The sequence below is a fragment of the Homo sapiens genome, chromosome 5 (genome assembly GCF_000001405.40).
Source record: "Homo sapiens chromosome 5, GRCh38.p14 Primary Assembly".
NCBI lineage: Eukaryota > Metazoa > Chordata > Mammalia > Primates > Hominidae > Homo > Homo sapiens.
Window position 1 is genome coordinate 138868489 of NC_000005.10, and position 22373 is coordinate 138890861.

The 22373-nt window shown below is 39.8% G+C and overlaps 2 protein-coding genes across 38 annotated transcripts in view; one reads left to right on the forward strand and one right to left on the reverse strand.

Annotated features, from left to right (window-relative positions):
- CTNNA1 (catenin alpha 1) overlaps window positions 1-22373 on the forward strand; it is a 181610-nt gene that overhangs the window by 115064 nt on the left and 44173 nt on the right. For 9 of the 37 annotated variants that reach the window (NM_001323982.2, NM_001323984.2, NM_001290307.3 and 6 more), the window contains 2 exons: window positions 17724-17804; window positions 19002-19154. In NM_001323982.2, coding sequence (NP_001310911.1) covers window positions 17724-17804; window positions 19002-19154 — 234 coding nt within the window. Of the gene's footprint in view, window positions 1-6741; window positions 7251-11701; window positions 11801-12192; window positions 12246-12553; window positions 12650-17723; window positions 17805-19001; window positions 19155-22373 lie in introns of those variants that run through there. The other 28 variants (NM_001324013.1, NM_001324009.1, NM_001324002.1 and 25 more) reach the window with 16 other exon arrangements.
- LRRTM2 (leucine rich repeat transmembrane neuronal 2) lies at window positions 433-6847 on the reverse strand. Its single transcript, NM_015564.3, has 2 exons — window positions 6420-6847; window positions 433-6068 (listed from the first exon to the last, which is right to left on the reverse strand). Exons 1-2 carry the CDS (start codon window positions 6421-6423, stop codon window positions 4522-4524), a joined length of 1551 nt encoding a protein of 516 aa, NP_056379.1. The 5' UTR covers window positions 6424-6847; the 3' UTR covers window positions 433-4521.

Below are 22373 nucleotides of genomic sequence, written 5' to 3' on the forward strand. Positions count from 1 at the left end.
CCCCAAGGTAGAGGCCAAGTCGCTGTTGGCTAGATACAGGCAATTGGTACCTTTCCGAAGCTCTCTGTGGTGTTAGTTCACTGTAATGGAGGATTCAGAGAGGGGCAGCCAACTCCATGCCCTGTGAGCCTGGGACAGTTGTTTGTCCACTTGCTCAGGCTCTTGACAGAGCAGCTTCTTACTGCATGACAGCTTTTTAGGCACTCTCCCTTCTCACCACTTTACCTTTACTTTCTTCTTATCCTAGTTTTACCTCTCTCTGAAGACAGGTAATGATTAGCTGCCCCTTTTTTCAGTGGACACATTTGACATTGTAGAGGAACATGGAATAAAACAACTGTTCATTTAAGATTTCTATGTCTGTCACAAATGGCTTTTCAAGTTTCACATGTCAAAATTGATAGGTTATCAAGGAAAAGTAAAAAGAAGGCATTCACTTTTTACAGTATACACAATTTTAATAACAAAACTTGCCTGTACACTGCTCTTTATGTTACCCTCCCCCCTCCCAAAACACCCTGCATAATAGTATTTTCTTCCCACCCTCAACCCATCTGCCCACCTCCCACCCAAAAAGAAAAATGGCTCTTGAAGGTGATTGAACACAATGTATTTGGACTGTACTTTGAGTTTCCAGTCTCAGTGTTGATAGGAAGGTTCACCAAACATTCCATATATCAGACTTAAAAAAAAAAAAAAAAACCGCTAAGGACAAAAATGTTAGTTGAAAGAGTTGCAGAGGTTTCCAAATGTTTGCAATAGCAGAATGAAAGCTTAAACAGTAATTTTCTATTTGTTTTTGGCCTTATTCAAGTACTATGAGTTTGCCCCAGGTTAGATAGAGAAATATTTAATTATCTATAGATGGCCTTACTGTCTCTCTCTCTTTTTTTTTTTTTTTCCTGGCTCAAGGGCTTTAGTCAATAAGATATGAAAAGTATGCCCCCAAACAGACTTTTCAGATAGGTCTGTCGCTGTATTCCTGTATTAGGAAAACGATCATGTAAGTCAGCTGTTAAAAATATTCTTTAACAAATTTTATATTGATATCCACACTTCAGAAAAAGAACAGGACATTTATAGCTTTTTCCCCTGATAGCTGTGTGTAGGAAGTGTGCCTTAAGAAAATGAAATGCCTGTTTTGAATTTTAGAATTCAAACCTAGTGCTACATAGGGCTCATTTTTATTGGAAAGATGGAGTCTAGCTCTTGGTGACTAGCATTAGAATAAGCAGATGGATTTTAATAATTAGTGGCGTTGGGAAGTTCAGTCAATTCCATTTATTGAATTGATACAGAAATTAACTTAGGCACATTAAGAAATTACATGTGTTAGTACAGATTTTTGGCTTAAAAAATTAGTATCTTTGCTTTTTGATGCTGGCAGTGGGTATTCTCAGAGTTGTGTGTGGATTTACAAGTTTATCAGCCCACTCTTTTCAGAAAGGTGATTGAAATCCCTGTCATGCTACAGAAATGAATATAAACGATTTCAAACTAGTTCTTGGTTTCTAGATGGGTATGGTATCATAGTCTTCTTTAGCTTTCCTTTTTCCAGAGAGATTAATTATTTTTCTGGTTCTTAATGGTCATTTTCCTCTAATCTTAAAAATAGAAAAAAAATGGAGTGGGTAGTGGTGGTGAAGAGGATAAAACCCCATCAAAAAACAAAAGCTCTGACACTGTGTAACCAAGATCCGCAGCGTTGCTGTGATGCTGTTCCGTTCTAGCCAGTTGGTAAAGAAAGCACAGATGACTAACAGTCTAATCTTCAAACCTGTGCTGATTCTGAAACACAAATGGACAAAAATGAAAGAAAATCTTGCCTTCTACAGGCAATTAAAAAGGGAGGTTTTTGCTTTTAAATGAGAAAGGAAAATACCTTTTTGGTACTACTGTCATTCACTTTTCTTAAAGGACATTACCCAGAAAAATGGAAGGCAAAAAATTTTGATTTTTTTCAACTGGAAAGTATGCCTCGCTAGCCTTGGCTATGCTGTTCCTCTGAATTAGTAAATGGCTGGCTTTTCCAATTTGCTTTTGTCCGTACACTAAGGATTTTGCCAGTTATGGTCCTTTAAGGATTAAGGTGGAGATTCCCAGCCAAAGAAGGGGATTTCTTACCCATCCCACAGTTTAAATCTTAATTTTGTTTGTGGTTTGAAATGATGGAAAATACTCCTCTGCTGTCCTTCAGGGCTGATGGAATCTTGTGTGCTCAGGACACAGTTGTGTTGTGACCAAGCTGTCTGTCACCTGACAAATGGCAATGGTCATCCTGATAAATGGGTTGGTAAATTTTAGCTCGTGGTGCTCTTATTTGTAATAGGGGCTTCTAATTCAGCCTGTCTGTGGGGAAGTAGGGCGCTGTGCTCTATGCTGTTAAATCAGCTTCTGTCTCTGCCCAGACAAGCCCAGGGTCTGGTTTAACAAGAGACAAAATACTCACCACTCGAGATCAACTGAATTGAACTGGGCTGAGACTTTGACAAACTAATCTGCCCACCTTAAAAAAGAGCACATTTTTACTGTAATTTGTGATCTTGTCTGCTTTTTACCGAGAGATGTTAGGTGAAGGGTACTAAGGTACCCATCTCTTAGTATTAAAGAAGAAAAATTGTGATTAAATCTTACTGGCTAAACTATAGCCTTAACATGTTTTCAGTTTGATCCTGGGAAGAAAAAATATGCCCTGAATGAAGGATATCATGTTGATGTTGATGTTGGGGAAAAGATAACTTGAAAAATGGTAGTGGCTTTCTCTAAGGTTTTATGTCTTTTTTCTACATACAGTAAATGGCAGTTGTAAAAAATGCTCATTTTCTAAAATCAAGTTAGTGCTATAATTTTACAGTTTTTTCAATATGTGGAACAATGTTTATGGAAAAGTTCTGTGTGAATGAGTAGCTTGCATCTAAATTCCAAATATTTAATAGGTTTTCTTTAGAAATCATAATACAAGAAACTGAATACCTGTGGTTCTTTTCTGCATGAAAAATGTGGCATCCTTATCATTTGTTAACTATGGCATGTTTATATTTACATTGGAGGATCTACCCCTCTTCCCTTTTCAGCAGCAGGTCCTTTCCCTGTTTGGTGCAGATTGTGTATAATCATTGTTGGCTGCCTTGTAACTCCAGCTAACCTGAGAGTCAGATTTCAAAATCTGCCTTTCCTTTTAATCCCTCACCTCTGTGCTGCCTTCAAGTTACCACTGTGTGGCTGCATAGGCATGTCGAGTTGTTCTGCCATGAGATTCATCTCAGTGGTGCTGTTTTCTTCACCTACACTGAACTACACTTACAGCGTGAATGCGTATCTTTATTGAAAGATCGAAATGTATTATATAATAGTTGGAAAGTGTTTTTTTTCATGGTTCCTTTGTAATACAATAAGAATCAGTGTTAAGCCTGTTGCTAGCCAATTATTTTTAACTTGGCTCTTTGAGGTTTGAAGATCAGGAAAAAGCAGAAGAAAGAGGTTTAAACCCCTTTGTCAAGGCATCTTTGATCATGATAGTTGAGAGAGAGAGCGCGAGAGTGTGTGTGTGTGTGTGTGTGTGTGTGTGTGTGTGTGTGTGCGCTTTTAAATTGGAGGGAGCATGTCAGGATTGTTAAATTGACTCAGTTTGTCTTGTTTATCTCCAAAATATCTTCTAAATCTTTTTTCACATATTAATGTAAACATAGGATTTAGTACATTAATTAGTACAATGACAGTTTAATGCTAGTTTAAAACAGTTGTCTAAATGCCACAAAAATCATGTCCATTATAAGTCAAACGAGAAATGTATAAGAAGTTGGTGTAATTATTTAGGATTGGTTTCATTGTAATGAGACCTTTTCACAGTCACTTGGATTCATTGTGTAAATATATTAAAGAGTCACTCAGCTTATTAGAATTACATTAAAGGGTTCTGAATTCATGATATGGACTTTGATAATATCTACTAACCCAGGCAGAAACTCTGGAAGGAGAATGTTTAATATTTACCAGTCTTCAGCATACATGAAATTCTACTTCCCACCCTGGCAAGAAATTGAAGATTTGAGTAAATACCAAATTATCATACAAGAGAACTTTACTAAGTCTCCTTTTAAGCAGCAAGATAGTTGTGGTACATGGGATGGAGAGCAGTGATCAAACAGGTATTGATCTATATCTGTTTCTGCCCAATAGCTTCTTTCTAAATTGTTTTCAGTAGAAAAAAATAGTATATGGAGACCTTAGTGTAAAGGTTTACACACGATTGTATATAATTACATACATTTCTTATTTTGAAGTAAGCATTTTAGACTTTCCAACAGGAGTGCAAATTAATGTGAGCATTGATTCATTTAACACTTAAAATATGGTTTCATTTAAAAAATTAAAAATACTTCAACACTTCAAAAACTAAGTCTCCACTTAGTTTGGAAAATTAGGCTTAATGTCACCATTGGTAAAAATTAGATATGTATTTAGCCTCTACTATGTAAAATAGGTTACTTATCTGATGTGATTTTTGATGATGGGTAGATATTATACTTCACATTCTTTGTATGGCAGCTGCTGACACTTGCACTGTCCATAACCATTAATGATGATGAAGGGTCCTTCATGGGTGGGTTCATATTCATTATACGGTCCTTGGTCTGACATGTTTGACATATGGAGTCGTGTTTGGGATCGGAGCTGCCTGTGGTTCTGAACCATTGAGCACTGCCTAATTCTTCTTAAAGTGGGAGGGCAGCACTTCCTGGAGATGAACACTATAAAAATAATAAAAAAGAAAGAAAACAATAAAGCCATTGTTCCCGTAATTACCCGCTGAGTGAAGATGGCATTGTCTGGTTCAGGAAAGTGTTCCTCGGTAGTAACTGCTATGCCTGCAGTAGTTGGGATTTCTTTGTCTCCCACATGGTAACTTGATGAGCTTATTCTTTTTGTATATTCAGTGGTTGGATCTCTATAAGTTGTAGCCATGACAGTGACAGTGGTTGACAAATTCCAGCAGAGCTGAAATCCATGGACTGCATCTAGAATATCCTCTCCTTGGGTGTGGTCAGGACTGTGGCATAGGATGGAGTGTTCCCACCGACCTTGGAAACTGCCCAGCCAGGAGGCCAGAGCACATATTCGGGCGCTGCATTCCCACAGATTGCCAGAGAGACCAACGGTTGTGAGGGATCTCAGGGAGTTTAAGATCTTGGAATCAAGGCTGTTTAACTTGTTGTTATCCATGAGGAGTATTTTAAGATTGGGCATCGTTTCAAACACTGTCAAGTCGATGGCTTTGATTTCATTTCCAGTCAGGTCTAGCTTTTCTAAAGTGCCCCAGGTCCACTCCATCCCACATGTCAAGTTGCTGATTTTGTTCCATTGTAAGAAGAGCGTGTGCAGACTGCTTAGCCGTAGGAAATGAGCAAAATTAATCTTCGTCAGCTGGTTGTGCTCTAGGTGAAGCTCTCTCAGTTTAATTAATCCTGCAAATCCATTGCGAGCCAAACTTCGCAAACGATTTGTGCTCAAATCCAGAAACTCCAGACTACGACAGTCCCAGAACAGGCGTACTGGGATAGTCCGCAGGGAGTTGGAACGTAAATGCAAGGTCTGCAGCTTCCGAAGGCCATAGAAGAGCTCTGGGTGCAGAGATGACAGCTGATTAAAAGACAGGTCCAAATTTTGCAGGTTAATCAGTTGGGTAAAAGTTGTGTTTGGCAAGTAAAATATTTTGTTGGAACTTAAGATTAATTCCTTAAGTTTATATAGTCCTTGAAAAGCATCTTCTTTTACTGTTGAAATTTGATTGTGATCTAAGTGGAGCCAAGTAAGTTGACTGAAGCTGGCAAATTGATCTCTTTCGAGCTCTGTGATGTGATTGTGCCTCAGGGACAGGCCCAGAGAGCCCTTGTCTGTGGCGTTTGGCACTGAGTGGAAGCCCTGAGAGTCGCAGTAGAAGAGCAGCTTCTCGCAGCGGCATTTGGGTGGACACGCCATACCCAGGGCAGGCAGCATTTTTAAAACCATACTCATTGCATATATTGCTGCCAGCATAGGGGCCCCTAATGGCCACTTGAAATGTAAGCCTGCAGAATATAATTTAAGGAAAACAAGAAGATAGGATATTTTTCAGCAGAACATATGGGCTATTTAAAAAAAACAACCACCACCAACATTATAGCAAAAGATTTCACTGCATATAACTTATTTTTCATTTACTGCAGAAAAATTAACCTTATTGGTATGACTGGACCAAAACTTAAGCCATTTAAAAAGAAGATAAAACATGTCTCTGTCATCATCGATATATGCTTTTACCTAAACCTCAAAATCCAAAATATGATGGTGATTTCCCTCATAAAATGTGAATTCGGTAGCTTATTTTAAAAGCGTGATTCCTTGTTGAATGTACAAGACATATAAATGCACAGACTTACCCATTCTTCTGAGCACATTGGAGGCTGCATTCAGTCGCGGTTGTTAGACTCAACGCAGTGAGTCTGTAAAAGGCTCTAACATGTAGGAGCCTTTGACCAGTTTCCTGTTTTCTGTGTCCCAGGCTTTCCAAGTAAAATTGAATCCACCAGGACGAGTTGTTTTTTCCTTAGGATATCCCTCTGGAAAGCATTGGTTTCATTTTCTGTGATTGCTCTGATCCCTAAATCAGTTTTGAATATAAGTTATTAAATTTCTCCACCTCTAACTGCTCAGCTGGTTAATCAAAGCTTCAGTCTCCTTTCCGCAGCCGTTAGTTCTCTTGGTCTTAACTTGTTGATGGCAGATGGGTGGCTTGTTGCAGAGAAGAGCTCCTGGAGCAGCATGAGTGCATTTACTGAAAAGCTTTTCCGAGAAACGGCACAAGAATGGATTTGCTTATGTGCTGCGACCACACAGAACTGTATATAGGCTGACGTCACCGGATGACGTGTCTTTTGTTTGGGTTTTCCAGAAGCTTTACTGTTATAAAGCACCATGCTTTGTAACAGCATCGGGGTCGTTGCAGGACCCCCTGATTACAATAAAGCGAGAAAGAAGAACTCCTGACTTAAAAACATGATATTCCTTCAGTGTAGGAAGCAGCAGTGAGGTTGTAATAAAGGCTGCATTCAAGAAGACCCATCTGAACAGTGAGTTGGGTTAGCAGAGTGATGATTTTTAATGCTTGTGAGAGCCAGTGTTAGACTGCCGATTCTGCATAGAGAGATCATCTAAATGGGCAGAAGCCTGCACAATTTATGAAGTGCTGATTTAACACCAGCCTATGCAAGGTAGTGTCGCTGCACTGGTAGTTTGGAAAGCTATTCAGTTGCCTTGTTGTCATGCTTGGTTAAAATCAAAGTATGACTATGATTTGCTTTAGATGTGTTGATAAACTAGCTAAGTGGGCTTGGCTTGTTTGTCATCAAGAGCTTAACATTATAAACGAAGAATAAAGGGGGAGGGGAAGCTTGCAAAACAAAGCATGTGGTTATTTTTTTCTTTGAGAATTTCAGGGGAACTCTAAAAAGATTTCTCTTTCTCCTATTTTATAACAATGTTTTGTCGCCATACTGATTGAAAAAATAATGCTGAGTTGATCTTTAAATGTCCTCCTGGGAGGACAAGGCAGGTTGATACAGTCATTTTAATGCACATGCCCTAACAGCAAAGCAGAGATGATTTAGGACAAGTGATACCGTGTAGCTGGATTCTGACATGGCCCCTTGTATTTTACCTCAGAATCTCACCTACTCCATAACTAAAAGCCTCCGCTGGTACTGAGGTTGGTGGTTGTGACACTGAAATAATAGAGCATTTGCACCCTAGTTCCCAGCCACCAAGTGGCTGACTTAACTGAGCCTACTGCTGTTGTTAGAACCTGTCTTGTGAATACAAAAGGTCACTCATGCTTTGGACTGGGATTTTTGTTTTGACTTGATTTTGCTTGCCCTAACTCCAGTTTCTCCCTGTTGAATGGTGTCTTCACTTTTCAGACCTCAGTTGTGGATGTATAGCTCCATGTTTAGTGTTATATAAATGCAAAAGATGTTTCTAGATGTTATATTTTCAGGCCTGACAAAGGTAAGCCCTTTTCTACATCTTGCCTTATTGATTTGACCCAACATACCTATTTCTCCCATATCATTGGCACTTACCCTTTGTGGGTCTTGTCTCAGACCTAAGGACAGACATCTTTAAAACTACTGATGGTGTCTGTGAAACAAGAACATCGTTGGCCTTTTTGGTTCTGAGGGATTCATCCCACTGGGCAGATCTAAGAAGTAATTGTCTTGGGTAAAATTTTTCTGTTGTAGTGTTGTGCTGGAGTGAGAGCTGTGAGACTCCAAGGTCCCTTCCTTAGGGCTCTGTGTAAAGGTGCTATGAAAACTGCAGCAGTGCAGGTGTGTGGTTTGAGTCCTCCTAGAAGTGATCCCAAGGTAGAATTAGAAGTACAAGAGGCAAAAATGCCTACGAAGTACAAAGGGAGACAGAAGGCAGCAGGAATGCTCTGAGAGTCTTCGTACCACAGGGCAGGTCTGACACCTGTGAAGGGACAGAGGAAGCAAAGAAGATGAGATTGGCATTGTGGTTCTTAGACACATTTTGTAGGCTGAATGGAAATTCCCAAGCCAAAGTTGCCAGTGAACAGACTCTTGAGTCCTTAGTAATGAGCCTGCACTAGTACGTCCTCTTTGTTCCTTCTTGCTGGTTAAAGAAGGGAAGGAAACAAGTCCTGGTTTAGACCCGGGGAATGCTACTCCCCCTCTGACCTTAATCCTTCCTATAGTCTCTCTCAATAGGCTAGAACTTCTTAACCTGGTTCCATAAACTGTCTTGTGAAATTTTTTTGCTTGTTCATTTTTCTGTGGATAAGGTTGAGTCCGATTCCTACAGGGTCTCTCACCCTAGGTTTCAGAGCTGCTGTTCTACAGGAACTTGCCCCCAAAAGTTCTAAGGACAGTAGTCTCATAGGAGTGGTCTCTTAAATTTCTTTTTTTTTTTTTTTTTGAGACGGAGTCTCGCTCTGTCGCCCAGGCCGGACTGCGGACTGCAGTGGCGCAATCTCGGCTCACTGCAAGCTCCGCTTCCCGGGTTCACGCCATTCTCCTGCCTCAGCCTCCTGAGTAGCTGGGACTACAGGCGCCCGCCACCACGCCCGGCTAATTTTTTGTATTTTTAGTAGAGACGGGGTTTCACCTTGTTAGCCAGGATGGTCTCGATCACCTGACCTCATGATCCACCCGCCTCGGCCTCCCAAAGTGCTGGGATTACAGGCGTGAGCCACCGCGCCCGGCCAAATTTCTTAAATGAAAATAAGCCCTTGGGATGTTGTAAATGCCCTTATTGAAGTCAGCTACCCTCTGATGAAAAAAACCCTTTGCCACGCAGGAGAAGCTGGATTAAACTCTTCTCTCAAGTAACTACGTTAGTTCCTTGGGGAGAAAAGCATTTTAGTCAGTTGGATTAGAGCCACCATGATTAGGAATGAGTTGTGTGTTAACATGCAGAAGGAAAAGCATCTCCGTGCCCTTAAACTCTTGGTTTTTAGTCTGCTTGGCCTACCTCTTAAATACTAATAAATGGAGACTACTTAAATTATATTATCTCAGTACTATTATAACAGATTTGTGGGCAAGGAAAATTGCCCAGAGAAGCATCAGTGCAATCAAGAGTAATTATTTTTTGAAGGCCTCTGAGGAAGTGGGCACTAATGCTTGCAGTATCATGGTGCCCAGAGAGCACAGCCCCTTCCAGGTCACCAGCCATCTTTCTCACCTGCCCACTCTTTGGGTTCAAGAGGTTCAGGCTGTGGAACCAAAGAAGACATGGAGTTTGCCTTAAAATTGGTAGAGTGCAGAGTTCCCATTGATGGAATTGTGTATCATTTTTTGGTCTTTATCTTTCTTTAGCTAAAAGGGCTACATATCTATTTTTCTAAACTTTCTCTTGGTTTTGCTGTAGAGCAGCTTTTTTCCGCAAACATATGACTTTGACTTAAAGTGGCAATACTACTTCTGGAAGGTACTGTCCATATGATCTGTTTCAATTTTCATTGCTTTAGATGTTCATGATAAGGCAAAGGAGAAGTAAAATCTAACCTGTCTCCTCTCTGTAAATGGTTTTAAGCAAATTAACTGAGTCAAGTGGCAGGGCTTAGATGGCTGTAGTTGTCTGCATTCCTCCACATGAGAGTTTGCTTTTCATATGTATTGCTGATTAGGGAGAGTTATTCCCCTACTTGGAGAAGCAAATGTACAGATATATTCATGAAATTTCCTGTTCTTCTGTGGGAGGGAGGGTAGAGAGGGAGCTTTATATTTGCTTTATGCTAAAAAGGCAAATGTTTCTTTCATCATACCCAGCTCCAAAAATTGTGTATGCCCTGGCACCAAAGTGTTGCCCAGAGGTGTTTTGGAGGAGCATGTTAAAATAAACCTTGTTGCTGGCAGTCTCAATCCCTGCTTTTAAAAAAATGATAGCTGGCCAGGCACAGTGGTAGCCTGTAATCCCAGCACTTTAGGAGGCTGAAGTGGGTGGAGCACGAGGTCAGGAGTTCAAGACCAGCCTGGCCAAGGTGGTGAAATCCCGTCTCTACCGAACATACAAAAATCAGCTGGGCACGGTGACAGGAGCCTGTAATCCTAGCTACTCAGGAAGCGGAGGCAGGAGAATCGCTTGAACCAGGTGGCAGCCTGGGTGACAGAGTGAGACTCCGTCTTTAAAAAAAAAAAAAAAAAAAAAAAAAGCCATTTTTAGGGTGGAGGTCCTAGATGTTGTGTGTCTTATGTCCTCTGCCAAGAACCTTTTAAGGTGTTAACTGGCAACCACATACTTAGGCTTATGTCGTAGCCAGACTTGTATTAGAGTAAGTGGGTTTTACTAGCTTGTCTTTTTTTGAAAGAGAAGGGAATCTTTCAATAGTAGAGTGTCTACATTAGACTACCAGAATCTCCATTTCTGCCTGGATCCTTGTCTCCATCCCTTCCTTCTGTTGATTTTATTTTGTTGTTGTGTTTTTTTTGTTTTTTTTTAAAAAGACAGTGTCTTCACTCTTTCACCCAGGCTGGAGTGCAGAGGCACGATCATAGCTCACTGTAACCTTGAACTCCTGGTTCAAGTGATCCTCCAGAGTAGCTAGGACTACAAGCACATGCCACCATACCCAGCTAATTAAAAAAATTTTTTTCGTGGAGACAGGGTCTCACTATGTTGCCTAGGCTGGTCTCGAACTCTTGGCTTCAAGAGATCCTCTCACCTTGGCCTCCCAAAGTTTCTGGGATTACAGGTGTCAACCACCATGCCAGCTGATTTTGATTTTTAAAGTCCTTTTGTTATCTTGTTAGTAAACACAACTGAGAAAGCAGTAGAAGGGGATTCTGATTACACTAACAATGGTAAGCAGTGTTTCTTTGGATGCACCTTACACATTTTGGGACATATCCTTCTAGTTTTGGATACATGTGCACTCCGGCAGTTGTTGCTGTTGGGGAAGTTTCAGGGTCAGAATCATGTGACAACCTGCTTCCCTTGTATTTTGTGCCCAGGGCTAGATAGTTCAGCAAGAAATCTTGGAGCAATGCGTCTAAGTTGGGCATTAGGTTATGGAAGGTCTTCCATAGAAGTTTGGACAGATGAACGTTTATACTATTAAGATGTTTTATTTCTCCTATTATAGACATCAAAACAAAAATAACAGACTCTATCTTGAAGTTTTTGTGTTTGTTCGTTTGTTTTTGAGACAAGGTCTCACTGTGTTGCCCAGGTTGGAGTGCAGTGGCGTAACCTCCCAGGCTCCATTGATCTCCCTCCTTAGCCTCCCAGATAGCTGGGACTACAGGTGCGTACCACCATGCCTGGCTAATTTTTTGTGGAGACGGGGTTTCATCATGTTGCGCTAGGCTGGTCTTGAACTCCTGGGCTCAAGCTGTCCTCCCACCTCAGCCTCCCTAATCGTTGGGATTACAGGCATAAGCCACCATGCCCAGACCATCTTGAAGTATTGATTAAAGCACAGGCTGAAATGTTTATGGCAACCTCCCCGCCGCCCCTTTTAAAACTCTTCTTCTGCTAGTGGCTTCATTGTGTTCATGTTTTCCCTTTCCCCTCTGTGTAGCATGCTTCATCTTTTATTCTGAAATACATAGCCAAGTTTGGGGTTGTCCTTCCTTTCTCCTCTCTACATTTCTGAGTAGCTTTTGATGTAGATGTTATTTCCTCTTACCTACATAGATGGCCCAAGGGGCTATACAAAGAAAGCTGTTTGCACAGGATAGAATTAAGAGGTAAGATACCCGTTCATACTTACTTGAAGAATCGTTCAATTTTAGTGGACTCTCTGACCCAGTTGTCTAAATTTAAGGGGTTAGTTTGCATGTTTGTTGGCTATATGCTAGCACTTAAGGTTGATGAAGCTTGGAAACCATCATCTGAGAACCCTCTTAATAGGTTCTGGGCTGGAGGGGCAGTGACAAGTGATATGGCAAGGAAAAAAAAAAACACATTGAATATGTGATGTTGTTAATGCAAAGAAAATTCATAAAAATTTGGCCCAAAGAGAACAAGATCATTTCTTACTCTGTACGGTTTATAGCAGCATGTCAGCATTCCGTCTGCAGTTGAGATGTTGATTCCTCCTTGTATTGCACATTGCTGAAAGGGGCTTCCTGAGGCTGGAGAGAGCAGTGAGGTAAGACTGTCCTCCTTGAGAGCTCGTCTTGATGCTTGTTGCGTTTGTCTGTGTATGTCTGCAGTGTCTGTTCTGCTCTTTGTAATTTAAGAAGAGGGCATTCTTTGAAAAGAATTTGGGAATACAGGACTATATAATCATTGTATTCTAAGATTGATCTACTGTTGAGCTTTGCTTAAAGCACTCCCAGCAACTCTTGTTACATGTTCAGCTTAGGCAGAGCCCACCAGCCATTTGTGGGCCAGGTAGAACAACCAAGGTCAAATTGCTTCTCCTGTTATTCATTAAATATATGTTGTATGACACTGTGTTGCCCAGCCCACAGCAAGCTTTTTAGCCCTACTCATGAAGACATGTATTGACTCCCTAAAAGCTGCTAGTTTCCCTTAGTTTTCAAACATTTTTCTTGATAATTCTCTTTAAAGTTCTCTTTCCTCTCAGAAACCTTCTTGGTTGTGAGCAACAGCTTGGTTATCACTTCCTTTCTCAAGATCTTCATCTCTTGCTTTATTGAAGGTCCCTACTGTATGGATGACAGCCCCAGTTCTCTTTTTTATTGTCTTGGGTAGAAGAAGCTTCAATGCTGATTCTTATTTGGTCTTGTAAAATGCCATAATTCATTGTTTGTTGTTGTTGTTGAATTTTCTAATGGCTGAGGAGGTATTTTATCTAACTAGATCTTCCTGTTAAACTAATCAGACCTCCTGTTTGTTACCTTTTTAAACAGTCCTTAAATGTTAAGGGTTAAAACACTGTATTTCACCCTCCTCTACCCACCTCAGGCTTACTCTAGATTAAAATGAGGATAGAAAGCAGAGGTTTATTTGAAGTCTTATATTCTAACTAGTGACAAGGAAGCAGAGACTGATGACTTGCCACACAGATTACACATGAAGTCCTATATCTTTTAAATGTGTCTCTAATTGGTTATTGGTTTCTCATTTCATTCATGTCCAATGGGAGACAGACAAGTCAACAGGTAGTTATCCTAAGGTATGATTTGAGAAGGTCTTTGAGAGGAAACATGAGATGGTGTGGTAGCATTCTGTGGGGACACTGAACTTGAACTTAGGGCTGAGGTTGGCTAGCAGAAGCTTCCACAAGGAAGTAGTTTCTCATCTGAACGATGGGTAGGAGTTGGAAGGAGGGGAGAAGAGTATTTTATGTAGGTGAGAGAGAGCACGGCATGTCTGAAGAACAAAAATGTATGTGGGTGGGTCAGCATGGAAGATGGCAGAGTGACCATAGGTTCATTAAAGCAGTAGGAATGACCAGGTTCCATAGGGAGAATGTGTAGAAGAAGGAGAAAAGAAAGCCTTTGTTTAGCGGAAGAGGTTATGTGGATCTTTCAATGTAGGGCACTTTTTATCTAAGAAGTATGGTGGGATGATATTTGTTTCGTGCAGTCAGGTTGAGTAGCTTTTTTGTAGGTTCACCTGGAAACCTTTGCCTTTTCATTTAGGGACTAAAATGTGCCTTGAGATGCCACCAGCAATGCCAGGAACATATTTCATCCCTTCCAAACTGGCAAGGGTTGGAGTAAAAAGTTTCCTCACTACTTCCAGTAATAGTTATACGCTACAGGGTTGCTTTTCCTAAGGTTATGTTTGAGTAACGTAATTTTTGTTCAGTTAATGCTAGAAATAAAAAATCATAACTTTAATCTCAAAAGAAGTAGAATCTTGTTTTTGTTTGTTTGTTTGTTTTTTGAGACGGAGTCTCGCTTTGTCACCCAGGCTGGAGTGCAATGGCACAATCTCGGTTCACTGCAACCTCTGCCTCCCGGGTTCAAGGGATTCTCCTGTCTCAGCCTCCCGAGTAGCTGGGATTACAGGCACATGCCACCACGCCTGGCTAATTTTTGTAATTTTGTAATTTTAGTAGAGACAGGATTTCACCATATTGGTCAGGCTGAAACCAAAGGTTTCAGCTTTGAGGCTAAAGGTCTCAAACTCCTGATCTCAGGCTGTCCACCCGCCTCAGCCTCCCAAAGTGCTAGGATTACAGGCATGAGCCACCGCGCCTGGCAGAATCTTGTTTTAAAATGAGCAAGCTTTATACTTTCCTCAAGCTCAGTGTTAAGGTTGTGAGTGTGTCTATGTGTACTCATCTCTATTACATTTTAAATGATTGGTACCCTAAACTTGCTATTTGGACTGTATTTTTCTAAAATGATACTGTGATTTTAAAATGGTCTGTCTAGTATAACTTAAAGGGCTTAGTAAATAACTGCTCCTAAACTGCTCCCCTTCTGATTAATGAGGCATAAACCTCTATTTCCTGCAATAACAAGAAAGACAAATTGATTTTTTGGGTAGTTTGACAAAGACAGAATTAACAGATTCATGGTGTGGGTTGCATTGCATCTTAAAGTGAATTTTGCTGTGTGACTGTAATTCTTTCAAAAGTCAAATTCAAGGATTTGGTTTTACATAACTTGAACAGTAAATCTTTTTACTCAAATTGAGAAAATTCCTGGGCATTTCAGGTTGTAGGGGATTGGGCTTTCATGAAGTCTACATGCTCAACCTTTGGGTTTCAGATTCTAAGTGTTTTCTAGAACAAATGATCTATTAGAAACACCAGAAAAATGTGGCTAGGAACAATGGCAAACTTTACAGGGTTTATTTAGAGAAATTTTCTTGACGTGAGTGCTTGAGTATCTTAAGGAATATGCTGAGACTTTCCTGATTAAAGCATTAATTATGAAGTCAGTTTGATTGTGATTCAGTTTTAGCTACCTTTGTCTTAGATCCTGGTATTTTGAGCTTTAAGATTGCCAGTAAATAATTGCACGTCTCAAGCTGACTAGTGTCAACAAGAAAGAGTCAAACTCTGTAGAATGTTTGAAGAAATAAATATTCTAGGGCCCAATATGAGTGGCCAAGGCCCAAGGCACAGTCTCAAGAACATATTCCCAAGGTGGTTGGGTCATACCTTGATTTTATACATTTTAGGGGGACAGAATTTATAGGTAGACATCAATCAACACATGTAAGGTGTACATTGGTTTGGTCCTGAAAGCCTGGACAGTTTGAAAGGGTTGGTGGGGGGCTTCCAGGTCATAGGTGGATTCAAAGATTTCCTGATGGCAGTTAGTTGAAAGGATTAAGCTCTCCCTGAAGAGCTAAAGTTGGCAGAAAGAAATGTTTGTAGTTAAGATAAATGGAGGCGGGAAGCCAAGGTTCTTGTTATGTAGATGAAGCCTCCAGGTAGTAGGCTTCAGATATTAGATGGCAAATCAGATCCTAAAAGGTGCCAGATTCTTAGTTAAATTTCTCCTAAATCAGGAAAAAACCTAGAAAGGGAAGGAGATTCTCTACAGAATGTAGATTTTCCCCAAAAGTGACCAATTTGCAGGGCCATTTCAAAATATTAATATTTCAGATAAATACATTTTGGGGTAAAATAGTTGGATTTCTTTCAGGGCCTGCTATCTGTCATGTGATGTTATACTAGAGTCCATTTGGAATTTGGTATCTTATTGCTACAAATAATCTGCTTTGTCAGTCTTAAGTCTGTTTTAATGTTAGTGCTGGACAGTTGTGCCTGAATTCCAAAGGGAGGAGAGTATAATGAGGCACATCCAACTCCCTCCTTCCCATGATGGCCTAAACTAGTTTTTCAAGTTTACTTTGGAATGCCCTGGCTGAGAAGGGGGTCCATTCAGTTGGTTGGTTGACATTCATGACCCTGAATAAATCAGTTTATTCCTGCAGGTAGAAATCTTCCTATTTGAATGAGTTTTTGTTGAGACCTCTCCTCCCCATCAGTATTAATGGAATATTTAATTTGATTGGCAGTACAAGAGTGCTAGGGGGAAAGGCTTAAGGAATGAGACCATAACCAGATTTGATAGTGATCATATCAATTTTACTTATATTTCAACTCTTACTATTCCCTGTTGTCTCCTTTCTGCCCTTTGCTAAATAACCTATATCCCTCAATATTTCTAACAGTCCATAGAGAGATAGGTGGCATTTTCCACAATTGACAGGTAAGGGATAAGAGATAAAGTGAATAACAAATGTACATTAAAGGCACTTAGTAAACAGATCTCCCCATTCCTAACCATTCATCTGCTCTACTGGCTTGTGTACTAAGAGCATACCCATACCAAAATGTCTTGAGGGCATCCAAAGGGAGAACAATGGGCTAAATTCCTTTGTTCATTTGTATCTCTCCTATTATTTGCTGACATGTTTTTCAGAAAGAACCGTATTTGTTTTGCGAAAACAAGCTTTTAATATACTTTATATATACTTTATAGTTTAACCTACATGATGTAGGCATTTCCAGGGACACAACAATCTCCACCTGGGATTTAAAAAAAGACTTTTGTTCCTTTTCTTTCAACTGCTATTTTATTCCATTTGATTCTGCTTAGAATGTTACCCTGGCAAATCTCGACTCAGCACCTTGACCTCTGAAGACATGCTGTTTTACATACCACTTCAAGAGTGACTAGCGGGTTCTTTTCTGTGCAATATAACTGCATTAAAGCTTAGTCTAGGATTTTTTTAAAGTGACCAAAGTAATCCTACAAAGCATTATGATTTGAGCTGCATAATAAACATTATTAGCTCTGACCTATCAGGTACATCTTAGTTTTTAAATTTGTTGTTTCACATTGTTTCAGTGCCAGGTCCCATTTTTCACATCTTGACATTCTTCAGATCTCAGAGTTCATCAAAATCAGGTGTACCCTGTTCTTGCTGCAGTTCAAGGAGAGCTGCTTCATTAATAAAATTGGTGTATGCTGAACCTTGAGTTAAAATATAAATTTAATTTTTAAAAGCCAAACTTTAAGCAAAGCTCTTTGTCTCTTGGCTTCTCTTATTTTGGCAAAACTCCCTCAATTCCAGTCATCAGATAATGTGGAGCCCAAGAATTGTAAGGTTGGGTTTTTATGAATAAAGCCACATAACACCCCTCTGCTCCCCAGTATTTTCCAACTTTGAGTTTAAGAAGTTGTACTGCTTTTTCAGTGTTGACATGAGCACAAATGGCTATAGGCTATCATTAGGTTTCTTTGTAAATGAATAAAATGCTCATCTCTTTTCCTTTTATCCAGGCTGGACGTAAAGAAAGAAGTGATGCACTCAATTCTGCAATAGATAAAATGACCAAGAAGACCAGGGACTTGCGTAGACAGGTAATCTGGATGAAAGTGCTGATTGTTTTTCTAAGTTCTCAATTTTGTAGTTTTGATTAAAATCCTAATAAGCACTGGCCTTATATTTTTTTATTGAGAGAAAGGATGGATTTTCACAAGAAAGTGCCTATCTTTGTTTTGTTGCTAATATGCTTCTTAATGGCTAATCAAATTTCATGAAGACATGGGATAATACAGTCTCACTGTGTTGGACTGAATAAGTTAGCTCTAGTGTGAAAGGCATGTACAGGTAGGAAAATAAATTTAAAATGACTTGGAGACCTGTGAAAATAATCCTGAAGGATCTTGTTGTATTGACTATGTACAATAGAGACAGAAATTTCAGTTGTTTATCTGACTTGCCCTATACTCATTACACACTTGCAGTTCCCTTAGATCCATGGTGAAATGTTTCCAGTTCCAAATATGGTAGGTATAGAGATATTTGAGGTGCTGAATTTTCTGAGTTAGTAAATACAGAGTAGAGAAATCGAACCTTTTAATGATAAATGACCCCATTAACATTTGGAGTCAAATTGAGTTTTAGTCTTTAAAGAAGTTAGAGTTGATTTTATAAAGCAATGTATTAAGACTTAAGAAGTTGTAATACAGACAATTTTTAAGAGGTAATGGACAGATATTTTATTGCTTATGTCTGATATAAAACAAAATTAAAGATAAAATATATCTTTATTCAATTTCCTTTTGGTGAAGCAGTATCAGAAATGGTTATAAAGAGAACCTTAAGTTTTAAGGTTCATAGTGTGTGAATCCTTTCAGATAAGCCAGATAACTCTTTTTTCTCTCTTCTCTTTTTATTTAGCCAATTAGGCTAATTATATATATATTCCAAGGCTATGTGCCAGTTCAACCCAGAGCTGCTTTCAGTTCAGCTTTTGTATTATTTAAGTTGTAAGCCCTAGTTTTGTAATTCCCAAGAAAAAAGGATATTGTCTTAAGAACTGAGATTCTGTTGCTGAAATGCTGTAACTGTAGTAATGTAAACCATTGTCTCCATGATCATGTTTCCTGTGTTGTAGATTATGTAACTGCATGGCTTACATGAGGGGTCCTCATGTAAGTGCAGCAAGTCTACCGTAAGCTTCATTAGATTTAAGTGTACAAGAGAATAAAAAGCAATCTATTTAATACCTTTTTGGTAGAAATAAAATCAAATTTTTACAATTTAATCATTAGCTCCGCAAAGCTGTCATGGACCACGTTTCAGATTCTTTCCTGGAAACCAATGTTCCACTTTTGGTATTGATTGAAGCTGCAAAGAATGGAAATGAGAAAGAAGTTAAGGAGTATGCCCAAGTTTTCCGTGAACATGCCAACAAATTGATTGAGGTAAGTGAATTAGCAGTTTCATTGACTTGTAGGCAACTTGGTGAAGTGTGGTGAGTTTTAATCACATTATTTAATCAGTTAAAATTTGTAAGGGCTCGCTTAACATACAACATGTCTGAGATGATAGTCTTTCATTATCACTTAACATCTAAGGAAAACTACCATTTTGGTCACTTTACATTAACTATGTACGTTATTAAATACTAACAGTTCCTATCCTAGAAGCCTAACATCTCCACTTAATGCAAATAAAGATAAATCATGACATGACTAGACTCAAAAGATAGGATAGAAAGCAACAATGCCTAAGAACCAGAGCTCAGGAACCACACTGCCTGCGCTTGCATCCTGACAAGCTAACCTAACCTTCCTCAATTGCCATTTCTTGTCTGTAAAATTAGGACACTGATAATATCTATCTTGGGATTATTTTGAGGACCTAAAAAGATGATGTATGTCAAATGCTTAGCTTTATGCCTGAGACATAGACTCAGACCAGTCTTGTTTTAAAAGCAGAGAAACTGAGCCCTGACATGGGGCTAATTAGTTACATTTGCTTGGTAGAAATCTGTATGTTAGTAGTTGGTTTGTAGGGTGGCAAGAAGAAAGAGTGAATCGTGACTTATTTCGCAGGTAAGTTAGGCTTACTTCTCCTTTTGCTAACTGAAATTATGTTACTTAATTTATTCATTATTGCTGTATTTTGGAAATGGGACACAAAATAAGCATATATTCAAGTTATTTGATTTTGTAATCTTAATGCAGAACATCTAATACTTGGTAAAGATATTCCATATACCATATGGTAAGCTGGTCATTGTGTAAAAACAGAAAACGGGACCTTATGTAAAATGTGTGTCTCGTACTTTTGAATTTATAGTGATATTAGGCCACGTTTTGTTTTGTTTTTATTTGTTTGTTTTGAAACTGAGTCTTGCTGTGTAGCCCAGGCTGAAGTGCAGTGGGACAATCTCAGCTGACTGCAATCTCTGCCTCCTGGGTTCAAGCAATTCTCCTGCCTCAGCCTCCTGAGTAGCTGGAATTACAGGCACCCGCCACCATGCCTGGCTAATTTTTTTGTATTTTTTTTTTTTTAGTAGAGACGGGGCTGGTCTCAAAACTCCTGACCTCAAGTGATCTACCCGCCTTGGCCTCCCAAAGTGCTAGGATTATAGGCGTGAGCCACTGCGCCTGGCTAGGCCACGTTAATACCATAAAAATTTTCCGAGGAAGACACCAGTAGTCACATCGTGCATTACTAATTTTACATCATTTTCTTTGAACATTAAGTGTTATTCTGACCTGAATTCATTATTTACAGAATACATAGGTCAGTCTGCTATTTAAGTTAATGATTCTGGCATTTGAAACTAAAATTAGAAGACTTTGATTTTGTATCTCCATTAAGCATAATCTTGTTCACAATAGTCACATGACAGCATGAGGTATAACTTCCAGATACACACAGATTGCGCTCAGGAAGCCAGTCTCTTGTAAGTAGCATACATATTAGAAAGTTCTTCCGCATGGTAGGAAGCAAGGATGCTGCCAGCCCAAGGCCTTGGGTACCAGTGTGGTGAAGGGCTGAGTGTGGCAGCTGAAGAGAGGGCAGTCCTTGTCTGTATTGGAGCATCCTTTATTAGGGCCAGCTGCATTATCCTCTGCCTCTCCAGCCTAAGAGAGCTGACATTTGCTGAGCACCTACTGTGTATCAGCTATGTGCAAGTACAGTGTACTTCCCACAACATTTCTCAGGTAAGGAAACAGGTTTACAGAGGTTAAGTAAGTTGCCTAAGTTCACCTGGCTTACATCCCTCCAATAATGAGCACTGTGCACTCAAGCTCACTGGCTTAGTGGACAGCCTAATACCCCACTGAAGCATTGAGTGGGCGAGGAAGTATTGGAGACCTTGCTCCAGGAGCTTTTTCCAAGCTTATATATTTTATTGTATTTCATTTAATTCTGAACACTACTAACCAAAGGCCCCCCCACCCCCACCCCCCAGAATTGAGAGTTTGGTGTTCCCCATCACAGCTCAGTTCTGACCCCTTTCTAACCTCTCTTCTCTCCACACCCCCACACGTTAACTATGCATTAAATGACACATGGCTTTTCATTGCTTGAGGCATAACCATAGGCTTTGTAGTCCCATTCTGCAAACAGTTAAATTACATTTACGGTAATAGAGACACTAGGATGTATAATTGCATATGTCCATGAAAAGGAAATAAATTTTTAAAGTGTTGTAGAAGCCTCAAATTCCTGACTTATGGCAGAATTTTATTCTTCAGTGACAAGGCTTCTCCTCCCCTACCACTTTTGTATTATAATGAAACACTTTGAACTAGTCAGTGACTTGTTTTAAGCAAAGGTAAAATATTTCATTGTGAGTGTTAATTTCTTGACTGCTTCATTTCTTCTTGTTCTAACTGGATTAAATGTCTACAGGCCAACTTTGGTTTTAAGGGCCATTTGCCATTTTCCCTGGGGTGTAAGGGAAGTGAGAGTGCTATATGAAAGTTGGGCAGGGTTGATGGTGATAAGCCTCTGGCAAGAGAGGAGAGGTTCAGACATTGCAGCCACTGAGAAGTCTGCCAGATGTGTTTGGGTTGAGTGCTCCTCCTAAAATACTGCAATACAGTTCTGATGCTAATCACCAGAAGTTAGTGCAGACCCCACAGGTTTAGGGCATGGTCCCCAATAAGATTTGCCTTCACTTCACATGTCAGCTGCAAGTTCTGGGGTCCCCAGGCCACCTGTACTTCTGACCAGCCAGGTACAAATCTGAGGGGTTCCTATGACCCACCTCAGGTTTCAGTAATCCACTAGAACAACTCATAGAATATTTTATTATAAAGGATACTAATCAGGACCAGCCAAATGAGGAGACACATAGGATGGAGTCTGGGAAGGTCTCAAATACAGAGATTCTATGCCTCTTCCAATGAAATCAAGGTTCATCATCCTCTTGTCACATTGATGTTTCACCAACCAGAAGCTCCACTGAGTTTCAGTGTTCAGAGTTTTTATTGGGGTTTCATTATGGAGGCATGATGATCCAATAATGATATAGTTGAACTCAATCTCCAGTCCCCTTCCCTGAAAGCCCCAGTCCTCTAATCACATGGTTGGCCCCATATCCTGAGGAATCTCCTTAGCATAAACTATCAGGGCTTGCCATGCATGAATAACATTCTTCCATTACTACTGAAATTCCA